The sequence below is a fragment of the Homo sapiens genome, chromosome X, assembly GCF_000001405.40.
Source record: "Homo sapiens chromosome X, GRCh38.p14 Primary Assembly".
Classification (NCBI taxonomy): domain Eukaryota; kingdom Metazoa; phylum Chordata; class Mammalia; order Primates; family Hominidae; genus Homo; species Homo sapiens.
Genome location: NC_000023.11, coordinates 66,488,944 through 66,513,104, shown reverse-complemented (window position 1 = coordinate 66,513,104; position 24,161 = coordinate 66,488,944). Strand labels below are relative to the sequence as shown.

General features: G+C 40.0%; 1 pseudogene, besides 1 other annotated feature; it reads right to left on the bottom strand.

The window, feature by feature from the left end:
* Positions 1-13,284: 13,284 nt before the first annotated feature.
* PKMP2 (pyruvate kinase M1/2 pseudogene 2) lies at positions 13,285-15,394 on the bottom strand (annotated as a pseudogene).
* Positions 23,093-23,592: an enhancer, noted in NCBI's record as "H3K4me1 hESC enhancer chrX:65709355-65709854 (GRCh37/hg19 assembly coordinates)". NCBI's record gives its function as "activates a minimal SCP1, AML or CMV promoter by ChIP-STARR-seq in primed H9 embryonic stem cells {active_cell/tissue: H9 hESC(primed)}" and the evidence as "EXISTENCE:reporter gene assay evidence [ECO:0000049][PMID:30033119]".

Sequence of the window (24,161 nt, the reverse complement as noted above, 5' to 3'; positions counted from 1 at the left end):
AGAATTTTATATCCATCCAAACTAGGCTTCACAAGCAAAGAAAAAATAAAGTCTCTTTGAAACAAGCATATGCTAAGAGAATTTATCACCACCAGATATGCCTTACAAGAGGTTCTTAAGGGAGAATTAAACATGAAAATGAAAGATTATGAGTGGCCACAACAAAAACATACTTAAATACATAGACAATTGACACTGTAAAGCAACTACACAATCAAGTGTACATAACAACTAGCTAACAACATAATGAAAGAATCAAATTCACATATATTAATATTAACCTTAAATGAAAATGGACTAAATTACCCACCTAAAAGTCATAGAGTGGCATGTTGGATAAAGAAGCGAGAACCAACTCTATGCTCTCTTCAAGAGACTCATCACACACTCAAGGAAAATCATAGGATCAAAGTAAAGGAATAGGGAAAGATCTATCAAGCAAATAAAAAACAAAAAGAGCAGGGATTGTTATTCTTATTTCAGACAAAACAGACTCCAAAGCAACAACAATCAAAACAGGACAATGAAAGATATTACATAATGATAAAGAGTTGAATTCAACAAGAATTAACTATCTTAAATGTATGTGCACCCAACACTGGAGCATCCATATTCATAAAACAAGTAGTTAGAGAGCTATGAAGAAACTTAGATAATGACACTATACTGACAGTACTAGACAGATCATGGAGGCAGAAAGCTAACAAAGATACTCAGGATGCAAACTTAACATTTCAATAAATGGACCTAACAGATAACTATAGTATATTCCACCCAACAACAACAGAGTATACATTCTTCTCATCTGCACATGACACATGTTTTAAAGTTAACCACACACTCAGTAATAGAGCAATGCTCAAAGAATTTTTTTTTAATTTTTCAACCACAATCTTGGCCCACACAGCAATAAAAACACAACTCAATACCAAGAAATCTCTCAAAACCATAAAATTACACGGAAATTAAGCAATCTGCTACTGAATGGTTTTTGGGTAAAAAATGAAATTAAGGCAGCAAGTAAGAATTAGTTTAACTCATGAGAACAAAGATATAGCAAAAAAGAACTTGTTGGGCAGAGCTAAAGCATGTTAAGAAGAAGTTTATGGTGCTAAACACCCACATTAAAAAGTTAGAAAAATATTGTTAACAATCTAACATCACACATAGAAGAAATAGAAAAAACAAGAGCAAATCTACTCCAAAGCTAGTAGCAGAAAAACAAAATAACCGAAATCAGATTTAAATAGAATGAAACTGAGATGCAAAAACTACACAAAAGATCAATGAATCCAGGAGCTGGTTTTTAGAAAGAACAAATAACATTGGTATATCACTAGCTAGACTAATAAATTAAAAGAGAGAAGATTCAAATAAGCAGAATCAGAAATGACAAAGGGAACATTACCACCAACCCACAGAAATACAAAAAAAAAAAAAAAAAAACTCAGTGACTACTATGAACAATGGATACACTCTTGGTAATGCTAAACCTCCCAAGATTTAACCAGAAAGAAATTAAAACCCTGATCAGATCAATTATGAGTTCCAAAATTGAATCAATAATGAAAAACCTACCAACTTGAAAAAATTCTGGATCAGAGAGATTCACAGCCTAATTCTTCCAGAAGAATACAAAAGAAATATTACCAATCTTATTCAAAGTTTTACAAAAAATCAAGAAGGAGGAATTTCTTTCTCCCTCACTCTATGAAGCCAGCATCATACTGATACCAAAATATGACAGAGCTGGAACAAGAAAGGAAACTTCAGGTCAATATCCTTGATGAACATAGATGCAAAAATTCTCAACAAAATACTAGCAAACTTAATCCAGCAGCACATCAAAACACTAATCCAGCACCCTAAATAGTCTTTATTTCTGCAATGCAAAGTTGGTTTAACATATGCAAATCAATTAATGTGAATTGTTGCATAAATAGAACTAAAAGCAAAACCACACAATCATCTCAATAGACATAGAAAAGGCTGTTGATAAAATTCAACATCCTTTTATGTTAAAAACCTTCAACAAACTAGATATCAAAGGAAGATACTTCAAAATATTAAGATTCCTATTTGACAAACTGACAGCCAACATCATAATGAAATGACAGAAGCTGGAAGCATTGCCCTTGAGAAAAAGAACAAGGGAAGGAGTTTCACCCTCATCACTGCTATTCAACTTGGTACTAGGTGTACTAGCTAAAGAAATCAGAAAAGAAAAATAAATAATAGACATCCAAATAGAAAGAGAAGTCAAACTATCTCTTCACAGATCATATAAATCTATACCTCAAAAACCCCATAGTTTCTGTCCAGGGCTTCTAGATCTAATAAACATCTTCAGAAAAGTTTTATGATATGAAATCCATGTAAAAAAATCAGTAAGATTTCTACATACCAATAACATACAAGCTGAGAACTAAATGAAGAACACAATCCCACTCACAATAGCCTCAAAAAATAAAATACAAGGGAATAGAGATAACCAGAGAGATAAAAAGATCTCTACAATGAAAATTGTAAAACACTGCTAAAAAAATCAGAGAGGACATAAAGAAATGGATAAACATTCTATGCACATTGATAGGAAGAATCAACATTATTAAAATGGCCTTACTGCATAAAATAAGTTGCAGTCTCAATAATGTCCCTATCTAATTACCAACGAAATTTATTACAGAATTAGAAAAATACTATTCTAAAATTCATGTGGAAGAGGAAGACAGCCCAAATAGCCAGAGCAATCCTAAGGAAAAAACAGCAAAGCTAGAGAAACCACACTACCCATCTTCAAACTATACTACAAATCAACAGTAACTGAAACAGCATGGTACTAATAAACACACACATAAACCAGTGGAACAGGTTGGGTAACCCAGAAATAAAGCCACATACCTACAGCCATCTGATCTTTGACAAAATCAATAATAAGAAGCAATGGGAAAAGAACTCTGTATTTAACAAACAGTGCTAGGATAACTAGCTAGTCATATGCAGAAGATTGAAGGTGGACCCCTTTGTTGCAGCATATAAAAAAATCAACTCAAGATAAATTAAAGACTTAAATGCAAAACCTAAAGCAATAAAAACTGTGGAAGATAACCTAGGAAATACCATTCTGGACATAGGCCCTGCAAAGTTTTTATGATGAAAACTGGAAAAACAACTGAAAGAAACCCAACAGTTGAATGTGATCCAGCAATCCCACTTCTGGTTATATACCCAAAAGAATGAAAGTCAGTATAGCGAAGGGATATCTGCACTCACATGTTTGTTGCAGCACTGTTCACAATAGCTAAGATTTGGAAGCAATCTAAGTGCCTATCAACAGATGAATGGATAAAAAATGTGGTAGGTATACACAATGGACTACTACTCAGCCATAAAAAAGAATGAGATTCTGTCATTTGCAACTATATGGATGGAACTGGAGATTTTTATGTTACATGAAATAAACCAGGCACAGAAAGACAAACATCACATGTTCTCACTTATTTGTGAAATCTAAATATCAAAATAATTGAATTCATGGACATAGAGAGTAGAAGGATGATTACTAGAAGCTGGGGAGTGTAGTGGGGGTTAGGAGCTTTGGGAGAGGTAGAGATGGTTAATGGGTACAAAATATAGTTAGAAGGAATAAAAAAGGACCTACTATTTGATAGCACAGCAGGGCGACTATAGTAAATAGTAACTTAATTGTACATTTTAAATAATAAAAATAATGTAATTATGTTGTTTGTAACACAAAGGATAAATGACTGACAGGATGGATGCCCCATTATCCATGATGTGCTTATTCTACCTTGCATGCCTGTATCAAAACAACTCATGTGCCCTATAAATATATACACCTACAATGTGCCCATGAAAATAATAAGAAAATTTATGAAACAAATGAGAAATGTGATCTAATTATATTAAAGAGCTACTGCACAGCAAAAGAAATCATCAACAGAGTAAGCCACCACCCTACAGAGTGGGAAAAAATATTTTCAAACTATGCATCTAAAAAAAGGTCTACTATCCAGAGTCTATATAGAACTTAAAAAGCAAAATACAAACAACCCCATTCAAAAATGGGCAAAGAACATGAACAGACACTTCTCAAAAGAAGACATAAATGCAGCCAACAATCATATGAACAAATGTTCAGCAGCACCTATCATTATATAAATGCAAATCAAAACCACAATGATGTATCATCTCACAACAGGCAGAATGGCTATTATTAAAAAGTCAAAAAGTAACAGATGCTGGTGAGGTTGTGAAGAAAAGGGAACATTTGTACATTGCTGTTGGAAATATATATATTAATTCAGCCACTGCAGAAAGCAGTTTGGACTTTTCTCAAATAACTTAGAACTACCTGTAAACCCAGTCGTCCCATTAATAAGTCTATATCCAAAAGAATATAAATTGTTCTATCATAAAGATACATGTATTCATATGTTCATCACAGCACTATTCACAATAGCAATGACATAGAATCCCCTTAAATGTACATCAGTGTTGGACTGTATAAAGAAAATATGGTCTGTATACACCACGGAATACTATGCAGCCAAAAAAAGAACAAAATCATGTCCTTTGCAGCAACAGGGATGCAATTGGAAGCAATTATCCTAAGTGAATTAACACAGAAAAAGAAAACCAAACATCTCATTTTCTTGTGTAAGTGGAAACTAAACATCGAGTACACATGGCCATAAAGAAAGAAACAACAGACATACTTGAAAAAAGAGGGTGAGAGGAGGATCAGATGAGAAAACTATCAAGCACTATGCCCATTACATTCTGCTATGTCTGTGAGTTCAATTGTTTTAATTTTTAGTTCCCACAAAAGTGAGAATATGTAAAGTTTGTCTTTATGTGCCTGGATTATTTCACTTAATGTAATGACCTCCAGTTCCATCCAGGTCTTAGCAAATGACAGAATGTCTGTCATTTTTTTAATGGCTGAGTAGTACTCCATTGTGTATATGTAGCACATTTTTTATCCATATGTGTGTTGGTTGCTTCCAAACTTTGGCTATTGTGAAGAGTGCTGCAACAAACGTGGGAGTGCAGATATATCCTTGATACACTGATTTCCCTTCTTTCAGGTATATACCCAGCAGTGAGATTACTGGATCATATGATAACTCTAATATTAATTTTTTATGAATTGCCTTCAAACTTTTCTCCACAACAGTTATATTAACTGACTTTCCCACCAACAGTGTATGAGGGTTCCCTTTTCTTCATATCCTCGCTGGCATTTTTTATTGTGTGTTTTTGGAAAAAAAACACATTTTAACTAGGGTGAGATGATATCTCATTGTAGTTTTGATTTGTTTTTCTCTGATGATCAATGATATTAAGCACCATTTTATATACCTGTTTGTCACATGTATGTCTTCTTTTGAGAAATGTCTATTCAGATATTTGACCCATTTTTAACCATGTTATTAGATTTTTTCCTATAGAGTTGTTTGAGCTACTTATATATTCTGGTTAGTAATCCCTTGTCAGATGGGGAGTCTGCAAATATTTTCTCCCACCCTATGCATTGACTTCTCATTTTGTTGATTGTGTTCTTTGCTGCACAGAATCTTTTTAACTTGATGTGATCCCATTTTTCCATTTTTGCTTTGGTTGCCTGTGCTTATGGGGGATTGCTCAAAAAATTTGGCCCGGAATAATGTCCTGGAGATTTTCCCCAATGTTGTAGTAGTTTCACATTTTGAGGTCATGGATTTAAGTCTTTATATCTTCTTGATGAATTGACCTTTGTATCATTATACAGTGAACTTCTTTTTCTCTTCTTACAGGTTTTATCTTGAAATTCATTTAGACTCATATAAGTACAGCTACTCCTGATTTTTTTTTGCTTTCCATTGGCAATAAATATAGTTTTTCATCCTTTTATTTCCAATCTCTGTGTGTCTTTATAGATGAGGTATGTTTCTTATAGGCAACAGATCACTGGGTTTTATTTTTTTAATTCATTCAACTACTCTGTGCCTTTGATTGCAAAACTTAGTCCATTTACATTGAATGCTATTATGAATAAATAAGGACTTGCTCCTGCTACATTGCTATTTGTTTTCTGGTCTGCTTTTCATGCCTTCCTTCTTTCTTGTCTTTTTTTTTAGTCAAGGTGATATTCTGGTGATAGAAATTAGTTACTTCCTTTCCATTTTTTGTGTATTTTTACATGTTTTTTATTTGAGCTTACCATGAGGCTTGCAAATACTATTTTATAACTTTTTTTGCTGATCACATCTTAACACTAAATAAATGATCAAATAAACAAGCAAAAACAATACCAATAGTAACTCTACACCATAACATTGTTTCTCTGATTTTTTATTTATTGTTGTTTTCATTTTTATCTTATTGTACTGTCTATATCTTGAACAATTCTTGTAATTATTATTTTATTGGATCACCTTCTAGTCTTTCTACTTAAGTGTAGTTTACACACCACAGTAATAGTATTATAATATTCTGTGTTTTTCTGTTTACTTACTATTACCAGAGAGTTTTGTACCTTCAGATGATTTCTTATTGCTCATTAACATCATTTTTTTCTGACTGAAATACTGCCTATAGCATTTCTTGTAGGATTGATATTGTGTTGATGAAACCCATAAGTTTTTTTTTTTTTGTCTGAGAAAGTCTTTATTTGTCTTCTGTATTTGAAGAATATTTCTACTGCTTATACTCTTCTAGGGTCAAAGTTTTATTTCCTTCAGCATTTTAAATATGTTATGCCACTGTCTTCTGGCCTGCAAGGTTTCCAGTGAAAAGCCCACTACCAGAAATGTTGCAGAGCTCCATTGTATGTTATTTGTTTTTGTTTTTCTCTTGTTGCTTTTAGTATCTTTTCTTTATCTTTGACCTTTGTGAGTTTGGTTTTAATATGGCTTGAGATTGTCTTCTTTGGTTTATGTCTGCTTGGTCTTCTATGACCTTCTTGAACTTGAATATTGGTATCTTTCCTTAGGTTTGGAAAGTTTTCTATTGTTTTTCTTTTGAATAAACTTTCTATTTCTATTTTTTTCTTTAGCTCCTCTTTAAGACCCAAAACTCTTAGATTTGGCCTTTTGAGGCTACTTTTAAATTCTGTAGGCATGCTTTATTTTTTTATACTCCTTTCTTTTTTGTCTCCTCTGACTGTGCATTTCCAAATAGTCTGTCTTCAGGACCACCGATTCTTTCTTCTGATTGGTCAATTCTGCTATTAGGAGACTCTGATGCATTCTTCAGTGCATCATTTTTCAACTCCAGAATTTCTGATTTTATGTACTTACTGTAGTCTTTGCAGTCTGAACTTTATTGTACCTGTTCTTCATGGGAGGGCTTTTCAGATATTTAAAAGGAATTGGGTATTGTGATCTAAGCCATATCTGCATTAGGGGGTCACCACAAGCCCAGTAATGCTGTGGTTCTTGTAGAATCACAGAGGTACCACTGTGATGGTTTTGGATAAGATCAAAAAGAATTTTCTGGATTATCAGGCAGAGACTCTGCTTTCTTCCCTTACTTTCTCCCAAACAAACAGAGCCTTTCTCTCTTTTTTGAGCCACCTAGAGGTGGTGGTGGTGTGACATAAGCAGCCCAATTTCCAGCACCTCTAGGATTGCACTGGGTCAGACCTGAAGCCAGCAGAGCCCTGGGTTTTACTCCAGACCCACTGTAACCACTCCATGGATACTGCCTATCTTCACTCAATGCGTTGGGGTTCTACAATCAGCAGGTGGTAAAGGAAGCCAAGCTCATGTCCTTCCCCTAAGTATGGCAAGATTTCCCAGGCCCTTAGTGGATCTAAATATGCTCTTTAGGAGCTATGGAATGGAGTCAAATACCTTAGAAGTCTACCTGGTGTTCTATTTTACCAAAGCTAAACTGGCACTCAAACCACAAGACACAGTCCTCACTCTTCCCTCCCTTTCCACAGGCAGGGAAGTCTCAACCCATGGCCACCATCACCAAAGAATCATGAGTACTGTCAGGCTATACCACCAAAGCTCACTTAAGGCCGAAGGGCTCTTTCACTAGCTTTTGGTGAATGCTGTCTTGCCTGGGATTCACTTTTCAGAGTGATTGGCTCTCATCTGGCCCAGGGCAAATCCAGAAATGCTTGGCTCTGGAACAAGACTTGGAATCAGGGACTCCAACAGCCCACTTGATGCTCTACCCTCCTGTCACTGCGCTTGTACCTAAGGTGCTAGATGAAGTCCCTTTTACATTTCCCTCCTCTTTTATCAAGCAGAAGGAGCCTTTCCTCATAGCCACCACAGCTGGAAATGTGCTTAGCCCCTACTGAAGCCAGCACATCTCAGAGTATCAGCCAAGGCCCATGGTGTACTACCTGGATATCAGTGCTGGTTATTCAAGGCCTGAGGGCTCTTTAGTCAGCAGGTGATGGGTCCTGACAGGACTGCATTCTTCCCCTCAAGGCAGTGGATTCCCTTAATTCCCAGGGTGTGTCCAGAAATGTCATCTAGAAGCTAGGTCCTGAAAAGGGCCTCATGACTCTGACTAATGCCCTATCCTACTGTGGATGAGCTGATATCTAAGATGCAAGACAAAGTCCTCTTCACTCTCCCCTCTACTATCCTCATGCAGACAGTAATGGTCTCTTTTGCAGCCATGAAGTATGCTGCCTAGGGTTGGGATGGGTGGTTCAAGCACTCTGTTAGCTGCCCTGGCTTGTGTCTCAGGAGACTGCATACCCTGCCCAAGTATGTGACTCTGAGCCCAGTTCTGCACTAAGACTTACCTAGGAATTGCAGTCTTGTGTCCTAGACTGCCTGTCCTGTTTACTCAGAGCCCCAAAACCCTTTAGTCCTTGGTGGTGACAGCTGAGATGAGTGATCCCATCTGGCTAGTGCTGGTTTGAATATTTCCTACATGGGCAAGGGTCAGCTGAGTTCAGCCCAATTTTGCTTTTCCCTGTGACAGGGCAGTGCTGAGTTCAATGTGATCTCTCACTATTTCTGTGCTCTCTCTCTCTTCAGCATACAGATTACTTCTCTGTTCCATGCAGCCACTGCTGAAGGATGAGGAGGTGTGGTTGGTATCAGTGATCAAATACTTTCTTTCCTACCTTCCGTGTAGGGAGAACACTCCCAAACCATGTTTTCCTCTATTTTCACACCACAACAATAATAAACACAGAAGAAGGCTTCTGTGACCAACTGTGTGGGGTTTTTCCCCACACCAGCAGACATCAGCTGGTTGTCCTCTAATTCATTTCTATCACTACCTGCCTGAAGAGAGTGTCAGATCCCACAGTAGAGGCCTCAATTCCCAAGACTGCTCCTCTCCACACACCAGTTGCAAGTCTGGGTCCCCAGAGCTTCTGACCAAATGGCTTCAAATTAGAATCCCCATGACTCCTTCTTTGGGGTTGATTAATTTGCAGGAGCAGCTCACAGAACTCAGGGAAACACTTACCTATGTTTATTGGTTTATTATAAATAATATTGCAAAGGATACAACTTTTAAGCTTTATGTCAAACGTCCTAAAGGCATGACGGTGGTGGGTTGTGCCTTTACCACATCTAGAAAAATTGAGGCTAACACTGAATGCAGCTATATTGCCTGATGGTAAAAATAAATCACTAATTCTGCACCTTACCCCGTCTGAATGGGAGTAAACTGAGGAGGACCTACCTGCTCGACTAGACTACTTGCTAGACTAGATGAAAAGATGCATAGAGTGAGGCATAAGGGAAGAGGCATAGAGTTCCCATGTCTTCTCTGGGTGCATCAGCCTCCAGGGACCTCCACGTGTTCACCTATCTGGAAGCTCCCTTAACCCTGTCTGCCCCCTTGGGGTTTTATGGAAGCTTCATGACAACAGGATTTCTTCCTCCAGGGTATAGGGTGAGATCCTCTCATGGAAGGGTCTTAAGATCCACATTCAGAAAGGCAGAGAAACATTAGAGTGAAAGAAGGGCAGGAGGTCAGAGGCCTGCCCCTGAGTTATTTGCTTTGTTTTGTTTCTGAGATGAAGTCTTTCTCTGTCACCCATGCTGGAGTGCAGTGGTGCAATCTCAGCTCACTGCAACCTTTGCTTCCCGGGTTCAAGCAATTCTTCTGTCTCAGCCACCCAGGTAGCTGGGATTACAGGTGCATGCCACCAGGCCCCGCTAATTTTTGTATTTTTAGTAGAGATGAGGTTTCACTATTTTGGCCAGGCTGGTCTTGAACATCTGACCTCAAGTCATCTGCCCATTTTGGCCACCCAAATTGCGGGGATTACAGGCCTGAGCCACTGCACCTGGCCCTGCCCCTGAGTTCTAACATACCCAGTATTATAATAAAAGATGGTAACAAGGGCTGTGGGAGTTATGAGTCCGTAACCATGGACAAAAACCAATGTATACCATAACACCAAAGGGCCACCTCCTGGTTTTTTACCATGGAACCTTTACATCAAATATATATATATATATATATATATATATATATATATATATATATATCACAATCAATCAATAACAATTAATCCAGTCCATCATAGTGTATGAATATCTCCCAAGATGAGGTCACTTAAGTATGCAGGCATCCTCTCAATCTTGTCAGGTTCCAAAAGCAGGAATGACCTTGGTAAGTATACAACTTTACCCTTTCAGGCATCTGGGATAATTATGCTGAGACAATGTTATCTCTTACTCTGAGACTCTTTTGAGTTTTTAATGTAATATTAAATTTTCCTCAGTGAAGAACCCATTTATTCATTTTTTACTCTCAGCTACTATTTCCCCTTCTCTTCATTAACACTGACACTTTTTCACTTTTGGAAGTGGCACTAGAATCACCACTGTGCTTGTCTACATTGCAGGTAGCAATACAAATCCAGTTCACTCCCGTTCAGACAGGGTAGGGTGCAGAATTAGTGAGCTATTTTTACCACCAGGCAACATAGCTGCACTCACTGTTAGCCTCAATTTTGCTAGATGTGGTGAAGACACAACCAACCACCATCGTGCTTTTAGGAATTTTGACATAAAGTTTAAAAATATAGTTACAGTTTTCTGTTTAGAAATCATCCCTGCTGTTGCAGCACTTGTTCTTGCAGTCCTGGTCCTAAGATCACTGCATCAGGTAAGGAAGAGAAAAATCATTTTTTGAGATAATTTGGGAAGAAAGAAAAAAATACACAGTGTTAATACCAATGTACTCCTCCCTTGGTGAGAACTGCATGATTATACATGCATCTTCCCCATTATCTCTTCCCCCAGATCAACCAGAAACAAAACAAAACAAAATAAAACAGAAAAGTCTAACAGGGGCACTACATTCCCATTCATGTTGAGTGTGAGCACACACTAATGAAGGCGTGCAAGCCAGCTCTTTATTCCTTTATCTTCCCCTGTCTTAGACAACCAATTGAAACCAATTGCCTGTTCTACTTCTCCATCAAATTATTACTCTAAGGAGGATATCTCTCTGCCTGTTGTTGGAATTTGTGGACTGTGCAGTGTGCTCTTTGGTCTGAAAAAAATGATGGTCAGCCATCCAAATCCATGCAATGTTCTCTGTTTTTTTTTTTTTTTTTGGCACTCTGAGCATTTTCATTGTTCATTGGACAACAAAAGCCTACTCCAGAGTTATTGTCTATTCCTGTCAAGACCCACTTTCAGCCCTTCAGGGCTATAAGCATCAGTCTCACTTGCCAGTTATGTTCAGGGCCTTCCCACCAGAGAAATCCGCCCGGTAGTAATCAGCAGTCTCTGTCTCTCTTGCTGAGAAATGGAAGAGTTTTTCTGGGATTTTGTGCCTGAGAGGGTGCAAAAGGAACATGTCTAGATTCAGCATGTCTCTGCACTGCTACAATACCTCCATATCCACTTATCTGATGGACCCAGATGACCACCTCAACAGAACACATGGGGATATCTGCTTGTCAATTTCAGTCACTTTCTGAACCTGGAAGAGAGTTCTGATGGCCATTGACTTGTTCTACTTTAATGCACCCCTCAAATCTCCATGGAGCCAAGCTCCATATGGGCATTCTTTTAACAGGCCAGGCTCCCATTGCCCTGATATCTGAGCATATAGTCAGGCTATTGGTCACAGCCCGTGGGCTAGTAAAAACTTAACACAGGGGCTTGTACCATTGTTTAATTTTTCCATCACTGTTAAAAAAACAGCATGCAATTCAGCTCATAGAGCAGGCCTGTTTTTACCTTCTTTGGTCTAAAGTAACAGCCTTCTAAAGAGGATGGTGTCCATTTACCTTGGAATTGCCATCCGTGAACCAAGTAGCTCTTGGTTGGTCAGTTGAGAGCTATTTATCAGGCACTGTAGAATCCAACAGTTTTTCATGCAGTTACAAGTGAACTATGGAAGAAAAAAATCCCTGCTTGAGAGTATCTCCTCCTTGCATTCTCCAGGTAGCATGATCCTCTATAATCCATTTTCATTTTATTATAAACCTCTTCTGGACACTGCCTTCCCCATTAGAATATATATCTGACATCACCTGATACAGCATGGGGATTTCAGGTGTCATAGGGGTAGCTTTAGCTAAGGCAGTAAATGCCCCTCAAGTGGAATAAGTAAATAATTTGTCATTACCAGCCAGCACTTTGGCTTCTACTCTGCACTGTGTGAACTTGGGCAATCATACAGATTCTCACTTGGCATGTCCAAATAATGTTGATTGAAGGGCGAATTTAAATGCCTTCTGTTTTACAGTAGCAGGTAGAAGAAACATTCCCTAATAATCTACAATGTTCATTACCATAATACCATCAGTTGAAAGAGATGCAATTATTTCATATAAAGTGTGTTCAAAGATACTAACTTTCATAATCCAATAAACCCTTATATTTTTATGTTATAGTTTGAAAAACTTCTTTTCCTCACCCCAAGGTAATTGTACCCTTTCTTGTGCAAAAGACTTTGTGCAAAACCCAGCCAAGGGTTGAATCAAACGACCCTGGTCCTTTTGTCAATTTTTTTCGTGATTAATCTGCCATACTCTTGCACCAGGCAGTTTCAGATTAGATTTTTAATTGTAATCTCTGCCTTCCAGCCTTTGTGTGTGTGTGTGCTTCAGCTGTTGTTTATTGACATACAGGTAGGCTCTATAACAACGGGCCTGGAGGTGGCTGCAGCAGTGGGGAGAAATGGAAGGAGAAGGGTATAGTGTTTGCTGCAGGAAAGCTGAGTGGAGGGTGGGGACAGGTGCAAATAGGGGAGGTCCAGAAGGTTGGGAAAGCAAGTATGGGCCAGGGCCAGAGTCTGCTTAAACTGAAACCACTGCCTCATGCCCTAAGGCCCCTAACTCTTGCTGGCTGTTTCCTGACCCTGGGACAGGGTTGGGAGTCCTCTGGGCATCCATTTAATAAAGGAACTGAACAGAGCACAGAAAGGAAAGGAAGCTGTCACCCTTTTGCCATAGACTCCAGGGACCTCCAGTCCTGCATTCCTCCTTCTTCCCTTGCTTGGGTAAGGCCACATGATGGGCAGCCAGGCTCTGGGCTGTCCCACCCAAGAGCAGATTCTAAAACCAGCCATGTTTCAGCAAGGCATTAATCTTCTTCCCTGGTGACCCAGCCCACCAGTGCCACATTACAGCCCACAGTGAGCTCTAAAAGTGTTGCTGGCCTAATGGATGGGTTGGGGGAACCAGGAGGGACAGAGGCTGGAGGAGGGGCTCTGGGTCCATCACGGCATGGAAACAACACGCATGGTGTTGGGGAAGCTGCAGGCAGGGCACCACCTGGTCAGCACAATGACCACATCTTCCTTCTTGAAGAAACCTCCGGCCTTGCCAACATTCATAGCCAAGTTCACCCGGTGGTCCACATTCTCAGCCCAGGCCTCCGGGACTGCATCCTTGCACAGCACAGGAAAGACGCTATGGTACAGATGGGCCTGACGAACTGTCTGGGGATTCCCTGTCACAGCAACGATGGGGGTACGTGGGCGGTATCTGGTCACCAGAACTGCCAGACTTGGTGAGGACGATTATGGCCCCACTGCGGCACTGGAAGGAGGCTTCCACGACGCCCACATCGGTGACTTCTGTGGGGTAACTGGTAATGCATGCCAGGAGGCGGGGCTCCTCAAATAACTGCAAGTATTAGAAGGTGGCCTCTGCTTCACCGGCAATCAGGTGCTGCATGCGAACTGCCTCCAGAGGATAATCCCCTTTGACTGTTTCTCCAGACAGCATGATGCAGTCCACTCTGTCCAGGACTGCATTGGCCACATCACTGCCCTCACCCTGGGTGGGGTGGAGCTTCGTGATTATGCTCTCCATCATCAGAGTGGCATAGATGACAGGCCTCCCAGCTCGGTTGCAGCACCCAATCATCATCTTCTGAGCAAGGAAGACCTTCTCTGCAGGAATGTCAATGCCTATACCATCATGAGCCACCATGATCCCGTCGCTGGTCTTCAGGATTTCATCAAACCTCCAACCCCCCTCATGATTCTCATTTTTGCTGATTACTTTGATGTTCTTTCCCTTCTCCCCAAGGACCTTCCTAACTTCGTGGGCATCAGATGCCTTGCGGATGAAGGAGGCAAACACCATATCGACATACTGCTCAACTCCAAACTTCAGGTCCCGGGTGTCCTTCTCTGGCATAGCAAGCAGGTCCACAGCAGTCCCGGGAAGGTTTACACCCTTCTTGCTGCCGGAGGAGCCACCATTTTCTACCTCCATCACGAGTAAGTCGGCACCTGGAGAGAAGAAAGCCCATCATCCACGTAGATCTTGCTGCCCACTTCTACCACCTTGCAGATGTTCTTGTAGTCCAGCCACATGATGTACTCATCACACTTTTCCATGTAGGCATTATCCAGCAAGATTTCGAGAGTGGCTCCCTTCTTCAGGTTCACATCTACAGTGCAGCAGCACTGCAGTTATCTGAGGAGCCCCGTCTCCTGGCGCCCATTACCAGTTACCCCACAGAAGAGGCCAGTTCGGATCTCAGGTCCTTTAGTGTCCAGAACCTCGGCAACGGGCTCTTAGAGGATGGGGGTCAGAAGCAAAACTTTCTGTGGCTGTGCGCATGTTCTTGATGGTCTCCACTGATACTCATAAGTTCCATGAGAGAAGTTCAGACCAGCCACATTCATACCAGACTTAATCATCTCCTTCAGCATCTCCACCGATCAGGGAGCTGGGCCGATGGTACAGATGATTCCAGTGTTCCTGGCTGCTATGGGTGGCGAGTCAATGTCCAGGTGGCACGTGTGTTCCAGGAATGTGTCAGCCATGGCTGCATGCAGCTTCTAGGTCTGAATGAAAGCAGTCTTGGCTTCACTATGGGGCTTTGACATGGCTGCTGAGGTCCTCCGGCACTGACTGACTGGGGCTAGGCTGCAAACGTGGAGAGGTCAATAGCCCCGGGACGCACAGCTGCTGCGCCCCTTCCAGCTTTTTAAAATTTCTCTAAACTGGGAGAAATACAGAAAACTGGTTAGGGACCTTTTAATGTCGGGTGACCAGAAGTGGCTCCCTTTTGTCCATCCAACCTTTGATAGTGTTGCATTAAGACCTTCGTTTTAACCCCATCAATTTTCATTTTCTTTATTCTGGTTCTTAACCATCTGAAGATTTTCACCTGGCCGGGACAAGTCCCATGACTCTCCCTTTCTTTTTCTTCTTAATTTGTTTTCTTTGTTCACCTTATTTCTTTTTTAATTTTCAACTTTTACTTTAAAGTGATGTGCAGGTTTGTTATATAGGTAAACATGTGCCAATGTAGTTTGCTGCACAGATCATCCCATCACCCAGGTATTAAGCTCAGCATCCTTTAACTCTTCTTCCGGTTGCTCTCCCTACTACCACCCTCCTCACCTTCCAACCAGTGTGTGTTGTTCCTCCCCATGTGTCCATGCATTCACATCATTCAGCTCCCACTTACAGTGAGAACACATGGTATTTGGTTTTCTGTTCCTGCATTAGTTTGCTAAGGATAATGACCTCCAGCTCCATCCATGTCACTGCAAAGGACATGACCTTTTTCCTTTTGATGGCTGCATAGTATTTTATAGTGTATATGTACAACATTTTCTTTATCCAGCCTATCATTGATGGGCTTTTAGGTTGATTCAATGTCTTTGCTATTGTGAATAGTGTTGCAGGGAACTAACACGTGCATGCATCTTTACAATACAAATATTTATATTCCTTTGTGTTTATACCCAGTAATGGGATTGCTGAGTCCAATGGCATTCTTTCTCTAGGTCTTCAAAGTTGCCACACTGTCTTCCACAATGATTGAACTAATTTACAGTCCCACCAACCATGTAAAAACGTTCCTTTTTCTCCACAACTTCACCGGTATGTGTTGCTTTTTTACTTTTTAATAATAGCCATTCTGACTGGTGGGAGATGGTATCTCACTGTGGTTTTGATTTGCATTTCCCTAATGATCAGTGATGTTGAAATTGCTTGTTGGCCGCAGGTATGTCTTTTTTTGAGAAGTGTTTCTTTATGGCCTTTGCTCACTTTTTAATGGGGTTGGTCCCTGTCATAGTGGAGAGCGAAGCTCTGCTGGCCTTAGTTAGAGTCAGCACATTGGACGGTGCATTTGGACCAGACCCAGCCAGAGAAGAAATGCCCATCCTAGCAGGATGAAACATGAATGGAACTGGATGTCATTATTTTAAGTGAAATAAGCCAGTCATGTAAAGACAAACCTCACTTGTTATCATTTATTGGTGGAATTTAAAAATCAGAACAATTGAACACATGGGTATAGAGAGTAGAAGGATGGTTACAAGTGGCTTGCAAGGGTACTAAGGAGACTGTGTGGGAGCTGGGGATGGTTAATGAGTACAAAAAAAAAGAATGGATAATACATAGTATTTGATAGTATAAAAAGGTGGCTATAGTCAAAATAATTTACTGTAACTGAAAATGTATAATTGGATTTTTTGTAACACATACCGTAACTGCTCAAAGGGATAGATACCCCATTTTCCATTATGATTATTATGCATTGTATGCTTGTATCAAAAATATCTCATATACCACATAAATATATACATACCTACTATGTACACACAAAAATTTTAAACAAATTAAAATTAAAATAATCTTTCTGGGATTTTAATGACTTAAATTAAAACTATGTATGAATTTATAATATTTGAGGTTCCTGATCCATGAAAACAGATGTCTCTTCAATTGTATAAATCTTCTTCAATTTAATCAACATTTTGGAGTTTTCAGCAAACAAGTCTTGATTCTAAGTGATTTACTTTCTTTGAGAGTCCATAAGTTGTATGGTGTTTTTAATTTCAGTTTTCATGTGTTCATTGCTAATATATAGAAATGTAAATGATTTTATGTTAATTTTGAATATTGTGACCTTGTGGAATTCATTAGAAAGTTTTAGGTTTTTTTTCTATTTTTATTTATTTTTTTAATTTTATTTTTTAAATTTTACTTTAAGTTCTAGGGTGCATGTGCAGAACGTGCCGTTACATTACATAGGCATACATGTGACATGGTGGTTTGCTGCACCCATCATCCTTTCACCTGAATTAGGTATTTTTCCTAATTCTATCCCTCCCCTAGCCCATCACCCCCAACAGGTGCTGGTGTGTGATGTTCCCCTCCCTGTGTCCATGTGCTTTCATTGCTCATCTTGCACTTATGAGTGAGAACATGCAGTGTCTGGTTTTATGTTCTTGTGATAGTTTGCTGAGAACGATAGTTTCCAGCTTCATCCATGTCCCTGCAAAGGATGGGAACTCATTCTTTTTTATGGCTGCATAGTATTCCATGGTGTGTATGTGCCACATTTTCTTTATCCAGTCTATCATTGATGGACATTTGGGTTGGTTCCAAGTCTTTGCTATTGTGAATAGTGCTGCAATAAACACACGGGTGCATGTGTCTTTATAGTAGAATGATTTATAATCCTTTGGGTATATACCCAGTAATGGGATTGCTGGGTCAAATGGTATTTCTAGTTCTAGATGCTTGAGGAATCGCCACACTGTCTTCCACGATGGTTGAACTAATTTACATTCCCACCAACAGCAGAAAAGCATTCCTGTTTCTCCACATCCTCCCCAGCATCTGTTGTTTCCTGTCTTTTTGATGATCACCATTCTAGCTGGAGTGAGATGGTATCTCATTGTGGTTTTAATTTTCATTTCTCTAATGACCAGTGATGATGAACATTTTTTTCATGTTTGATGGCTGCATTAATGTCTTATTTTGAGAAGTGTCTGTTCATATCCTTTGCCCACTTTTTGATGGTTTTCTTTTCTTGTAAATGTGTTTATGTTCTTTGTAGATTCTGGCTATTAGCCCTTTGTCAATTGGATAGATTGCAAAAATTTTCTACTATTCTGTAGGTTGTCTGTTCACTCTGGTAATAGTTTCTTTTGCTGTGCAGAAGCTCTTTAGTTTAATTAGGTCTAATTTGTCAATTCTGGCTTTTGTTGCCATTACTTTTGGTGTTTTAGACATGAAATCTTTGCCCATGCCTATATCCTGAGTGTTATTGCCCAGGTTTTCTTCTAAGACTTTTATGGTTTTAGGTCTTACGTTTAATTATTTAATCAATCTTGAGTTGATTTTTGTATAAGGTGTAAGGAAGGTGTCCAGTTTCAGTTTTCTGCATATGGCTAGCCAGTTTTCCCAACACCACTTATTAAACAGGGAATCTTTTCCCCATTGCTTATTTGTGTCAAGTTTGTCAAACATCAGATGGTTGTAGATGTGTGGTGTTATTTCTGAGGCCGCTGTACTGTTCCATTGGTCTATATATTTGTTTTGGTACCAGTACCATGCTGTTTTGGTTGCAGTAGCCCTGTAGTATAGTTTGAAATACTTTCACACAGGTAGTGTGATGCCTCCAGCTTTGTTCTTTTTGCTTAGGAATGTCTTGGCTATGCAGGGTCTTTTTTGGTTCCATATGAAGTTTAAAGTAGTTTTTTCCAATTCTGTTAAGAAAGTCAGTGGTAGCTTGATGCAGATAGCATTGAATCTATAAATTACTTTGGGCAGTATGGCCATTTTCACGATATTGATTCTTCCTATCCAAGAGCATGGAAAGTTTTTCCATTTGTTTCTGTCCTCTCTTATTTCCTTGAACAGTGGTTTGTCGTTCTCTTTGAAGAGGTCCTTCACATCCCTTGTAAGTTGGATTCCTAGGTATTTTATTCTCTTTGTAGCAATTGTGAATGGGAGTTCGTTCGTGATTTGGCTGGCTGTTTGTCTGTTATTGGTGTATAGGAATGCTTGTGATTTTTGCACATCATTTTGTATCCTGAGACTTTGCTGAAGTTGCTTATCAGTTTAAGGAGATTTTGGGCTGAGACAATGGGGTTTTCTAAATATACAATCATGTCTTCTGCAAACAGAGACAGTTTGACTTCCTCTCTTCCTATTTGAATGCACTTTATTTCTTTCTCTTGCCTGATTGCCCTGCCCAGAACTTCCAATACTATGTTGAATTGGAATGGAGAGAGAGGGCATTCTTGTCTTGTGCCAGTTTTCAAAGTGAATGCTACCAGTTTTTGCCCATTCAGTATGAGATTGGCTGTGGGTTTGTCATAAATAGCTCTTATTATTTTGAGATACATTCCAGTGATACCTAGTTTATCAAGAGTTTTTAGCATGAAGGGGAGTTGAATTTTTTCAAAGGCCTTTTCTGAATCTATTGAGATAATCATGTGGTTTTTGTCATTGGTTCTGTTTATGTGATGGATTATGTTTATTGATTTGCGTATGTTGAACCAGCCTTTCATCCCAGGTATGAAGCCAACTTCATCGTGGTGGATAAGCTTTTTGATGTGCTGCTGAATTCATTTTGCCAATCTTTTATTGAGAATTTTCACATCGATGTTCATCAGGGATATTGGCTTGAAATTTTCTTTTTTTTGTTGTGTCTTTGCCAGATTTTGGTATCAGGATGTTGCTGGCCTCATAAAATGAGTTAGGGAGTATTCCCTCTTTTTCTATTGTTTGAATTAGTTTCAGAAGGATTGGTACCAGCTCCTTTTTGTACCACTGGTAGAAATTGGCTATGAAACCGTCTTGTCCTGGACTTTTTTTGGTTGGTAGGCTATTAATTACTGTCTCAGTTTCGGAACTTGTTTTTGGTCTATTCAGGGATTCGACTTCTTCCTGGTTTAGACTTGAGAGGGTGTATGTGTCCAGGAATTTATCCATTTCTTCTAGATTTTCTAATTTATTTGCATAGAAATGTTTATAGTATTCTCTGATGGTAGTTTTCATTTCTGTGGGATCAGTGGTGATATCCCCTATATCATTTTTTATTGCATCTATTTGACTCTTCTCTCTTTTCTTCTTTATTAGTCTGGTTAGCAGTCAATCTATTTTGTTAATCTTTTCAAAAAACCAGCCCCTGTATTCACTGATTTTTTTGAAGGGTTTTTCATGTCTCTGTCTCCTTCAGTTCTGCTCTGATCTAAGTTATTTCATGTCTTCTGCCAGCTTTTGAATTTGTTTGCTGGTGCTTCTCTAGTTCTTTTAATTTTGATGTAAAGGTGTCAGTTTTAAATATTTCCTGCTTTCTCTCATAGGCATTTAGTGCTATAAATTTCCCTCTAGACACTGCTTTAAATGTGTCCCAGAGATTCTTGTACAGTGTGTCTTCATTCTCATTGGTTTCAAAGAATATCTTTATTTCTGTCTTCATTATTTGCCCAGTAGTCATTCAGGAGCAGGTTGTTCACTTTTCATGTAATTGTGCCGTTTTGAGTGAGGTTCTTAATTTTGAGTTCTAGTTTGATTGCACTGTGGTCTGAGAGACTGTTTGTTATGATTTCTGTTATTTTGCATTTGCTTAGGAGTGTTTTACTTCCAATTATGTGATCAATTTTAGAAAAAAAGTGCAACGAGGTGCTGAGAAGAATGTATATTCTATTGATTTGGCCTGCAGGGTTCTGTAGGTGTGTATTAGGTCTGATTGGTTCAGAGCTGAGTTCAAGTCCTGAATATCCTTGTTAATTTTCTGTCTCATTGATCTGCCTCATAATGACAGTGGGGTGTTAAAGTCTCCCACTATTATTGTGTGGGAGTGTAAGTCTCCTTGTAGGTCTCTAAGAACTTACTTTAAGAATCTGGTTGCTCCTGTATTCGGTGCATATATATTTAGGAGAGATCGCTCTTCTTGCTTCATTAATCCCTTTCCCATTATGTAATGCCCTTCTTTGTCTCTTTTGATCTTTGTTGGCTTAAGGTCTGTTTTATCAGAGATTAGGATTGCAACTCCTTTTTTTTTTTTTTTTTTTTTGCTTTTGGTTTTCTTCATAAATATTCCCCCATCCCTTTATTTTGAGCCTGTGTGTGTCTTTGCATGTGAGATGGGTCTCCTGAATATAGCACACTGATGGGTCTTGACTCTTTATCCAATTTGCCAGTCTGTGTCTTTTAATTGGGGCATTTAGTTTGTGTACATTTAAGGTTAATATTTTTATGTGTGAATTTGATCCTGTCATTGTGATGCTAGCTGGTTGTTTTGCCTGTTAGTTGATGCAGTTTCTTCATATTGAAGATATTCTTTACAATTTGGTATGTTTTTTGCAGTGCCTGGTACTGGTTGTTTCTTTCCATGTTTAGTGCTTCCTTCTGGGGCTCTTGTAAGGCAGGCCTGGTGGTGACAAAATATCTCAGCATTTGCTTGTCTGTAAAAGATTTTATTTCTCCTTCACTCATGAAGCTTAGTTTGGCTGGATATGAAATTCTGGGTTGAAAATTCTTTCCTTTAAGAACGTTGAACATTGGCCCCCACTCTCTTCTGGCCTGTAGGGTTTCTGCAGAGAGATCTGCTGATAGTCTGATGGACTTCCTTTTGTGGGTAACCCAACCTTTCTCTCTGGTTGCTCTTAACAATTTTTCCTTCATTTCAACCTTGGTGAATCTGACAATTATGTGTCTTGGGGTTGCTCTTCTCAAGGAGTATCTTTGTGGTGTTCTCTGTATTTCCTGAATTTGAATGTTGGCCTGTCTTGCTAGGTTGGGGAAGTTCCCCTGGATAATATCCTGCAGAGTATTTTCCAACTTGGTTGCATTCTCCCCATCACTTTCAGGTAAACCAATCAAATGTAGATTTGGTCTTTTCACATACTACCATGTTTCTTTTTGTTTTTTTTTTTTTTTTTTTTTTTTTTTTTGAGATGAAGTCTCGCTCTGTCGCCAGGCTGGCCTGCAGTGGCGCTATCTCACCTGACTGCAACCTCCACCTCCCGGGTTCCAGCAATTCTCCTGCCTCAACCTCCCAAGTAGCTGGGACTACAGGCGTATGCCACCATGGCCAGCTAATTTTTGTATTCTTAGTAGAGACAGGGTTTCACCATGTTGGCCAGGATCGTCTCGTTCTCTTGTCCTTGTGTTCTTCCCACCTCGGCATCCCAAAGTGCTGGGATTACAGGCATGAGTCACCATGCCCGGCCACATACTCCCATATTTCTTGGAGGCTTTGTTCATTCCTTTTTATTCTTTTTTCTCTAATCTTGTCTTCTCACTTTGTTTCATTAAGTTGATATTCAATCACTGATATCCTTTCTTCCGCTTAATCTATTCAGCTACTGATATTTGTGGATGCTTCACGAAGTTCTCATTCTGTGTTTTTCAGCCCCATTAGGTCATTTATGTTCTTCTCTAAACTGGTTATTCCAGTTAGCAATTCGTCAACCTTTTATCAAGGTCCTTAGTTTCCTTACACTGTGTTAGAACATGCTCCTTTAGCTCGAAGGATTTTGTTATTACCCACCTTCTGAAGCCTACTTTTGTCAATTAGTTAAACTCATTGTCTGTCCAGTTTTGTTCCCTTGCTGGTGAGGATTTGTGATCCTTTGAAGGAGAAGAGGCGTTCTGGTTTTTGTCATTTTCAGCCTGTTTGTGCTGGTTTCTCCCCATCTTTGTGGATTTATCTACCTTTGGTCTTTGATGTTGGTGACCTTCAAATGGGGTATTTGAGTGGATGTGATATTCCTTTCTGTTTGTTAGTTTTTCTTCTAACAGTCAGGCCCTTGTGCTGCAAGTCTGCTGGAGTTTACTGGAGGTCCACTCCTGACCCTATTTGCCTGGGTATCACCAGCTGAGGCTACAGAACAGCAAAGATTGCTGCCTGTTCTTTCCCCTAGAAGATTCATCTCTGAGGGGACACCTGCCAGATGCAAGCAAGAGCTCTCCTGTATGAAATGTCTATCGACCCCTACTGGGAGGTGTTGCCCAATCAGGATGCTTGGAGGTTAAGGACCCACTTGAGGAGGCAATCTGACCCATAGAAGAGCTCAAACGCTGTGCTGGGAGGTCAACTGCTCTGTTCAGTGCCATCAGGCAGGGACGTTTACATCTGCTGAAACTGTTCCCACAGCTGCCCCTTCCCCCAGATTCTCTGTCCCAGGTAGATGGGAGTCTTACCTATAAGTCCCTGAGTGGGGTTGCTGTCTTTTTTTCAGGGATGCCCTGCCAGAGAGGAGTAATCTGGCTGTCCGGCCACAGCAGCCTTGCTGAACTGCAGTGGGCTCCACCCAGTTCAGACTTCCTGGTGGCCTTGTTTACACTGTGAGCATAAAACTGCTTACTCAAGCCTCAGCAATGGTGGGCGCCCTTCCCCCCACCAAGCTCGAGTGTCCCAGGTTGACCTCAGACTGCTGCTGTGTTGGCAGCAAATTTCAAGATCGTAGCTTGCTTGGCTCCATGGGTGTGGGACCAGCCAAGCCAGACAACTTGGCTCCCTGGCTTCAGCACCCCTTTCCAGGGGAGTGAAGAGTTCTGTCTCACTGGCGCTCCAGGCACCACTGGGGTAAGGAAAAAAAGCAAAAAACAGAAAACAAAAAAACTCCTGCAGCTAGTTCGGTGTCTGCCCAAATGGCCACCCAATTTTGTGCTTGAAACCCAAGGCCTTGGTAGGGTGGGCACCGGAGGGAATCTCCTGGTCTGTGGGTTGGGAAGACTGTGGGACAAGTGTGGTATCTGGGCCAGAGTCCCTGGTTACTCAGGCTCAGTCCCTTACGTCTTCCCTTGGGTAGGGAAGAATATTCCTGGACCCCTTGCACTTCCCAGGTGAGGCAACACCCCTCCCTGCTTCAGCTCACCCTCCATGGGCTGCATCCACTGTCCAACCAGTCTCAATGAGATGAACTGGGCACTTCAGTTGAAAATGCAGAAATCACCCACCTTCTGCGTCTATCTCACT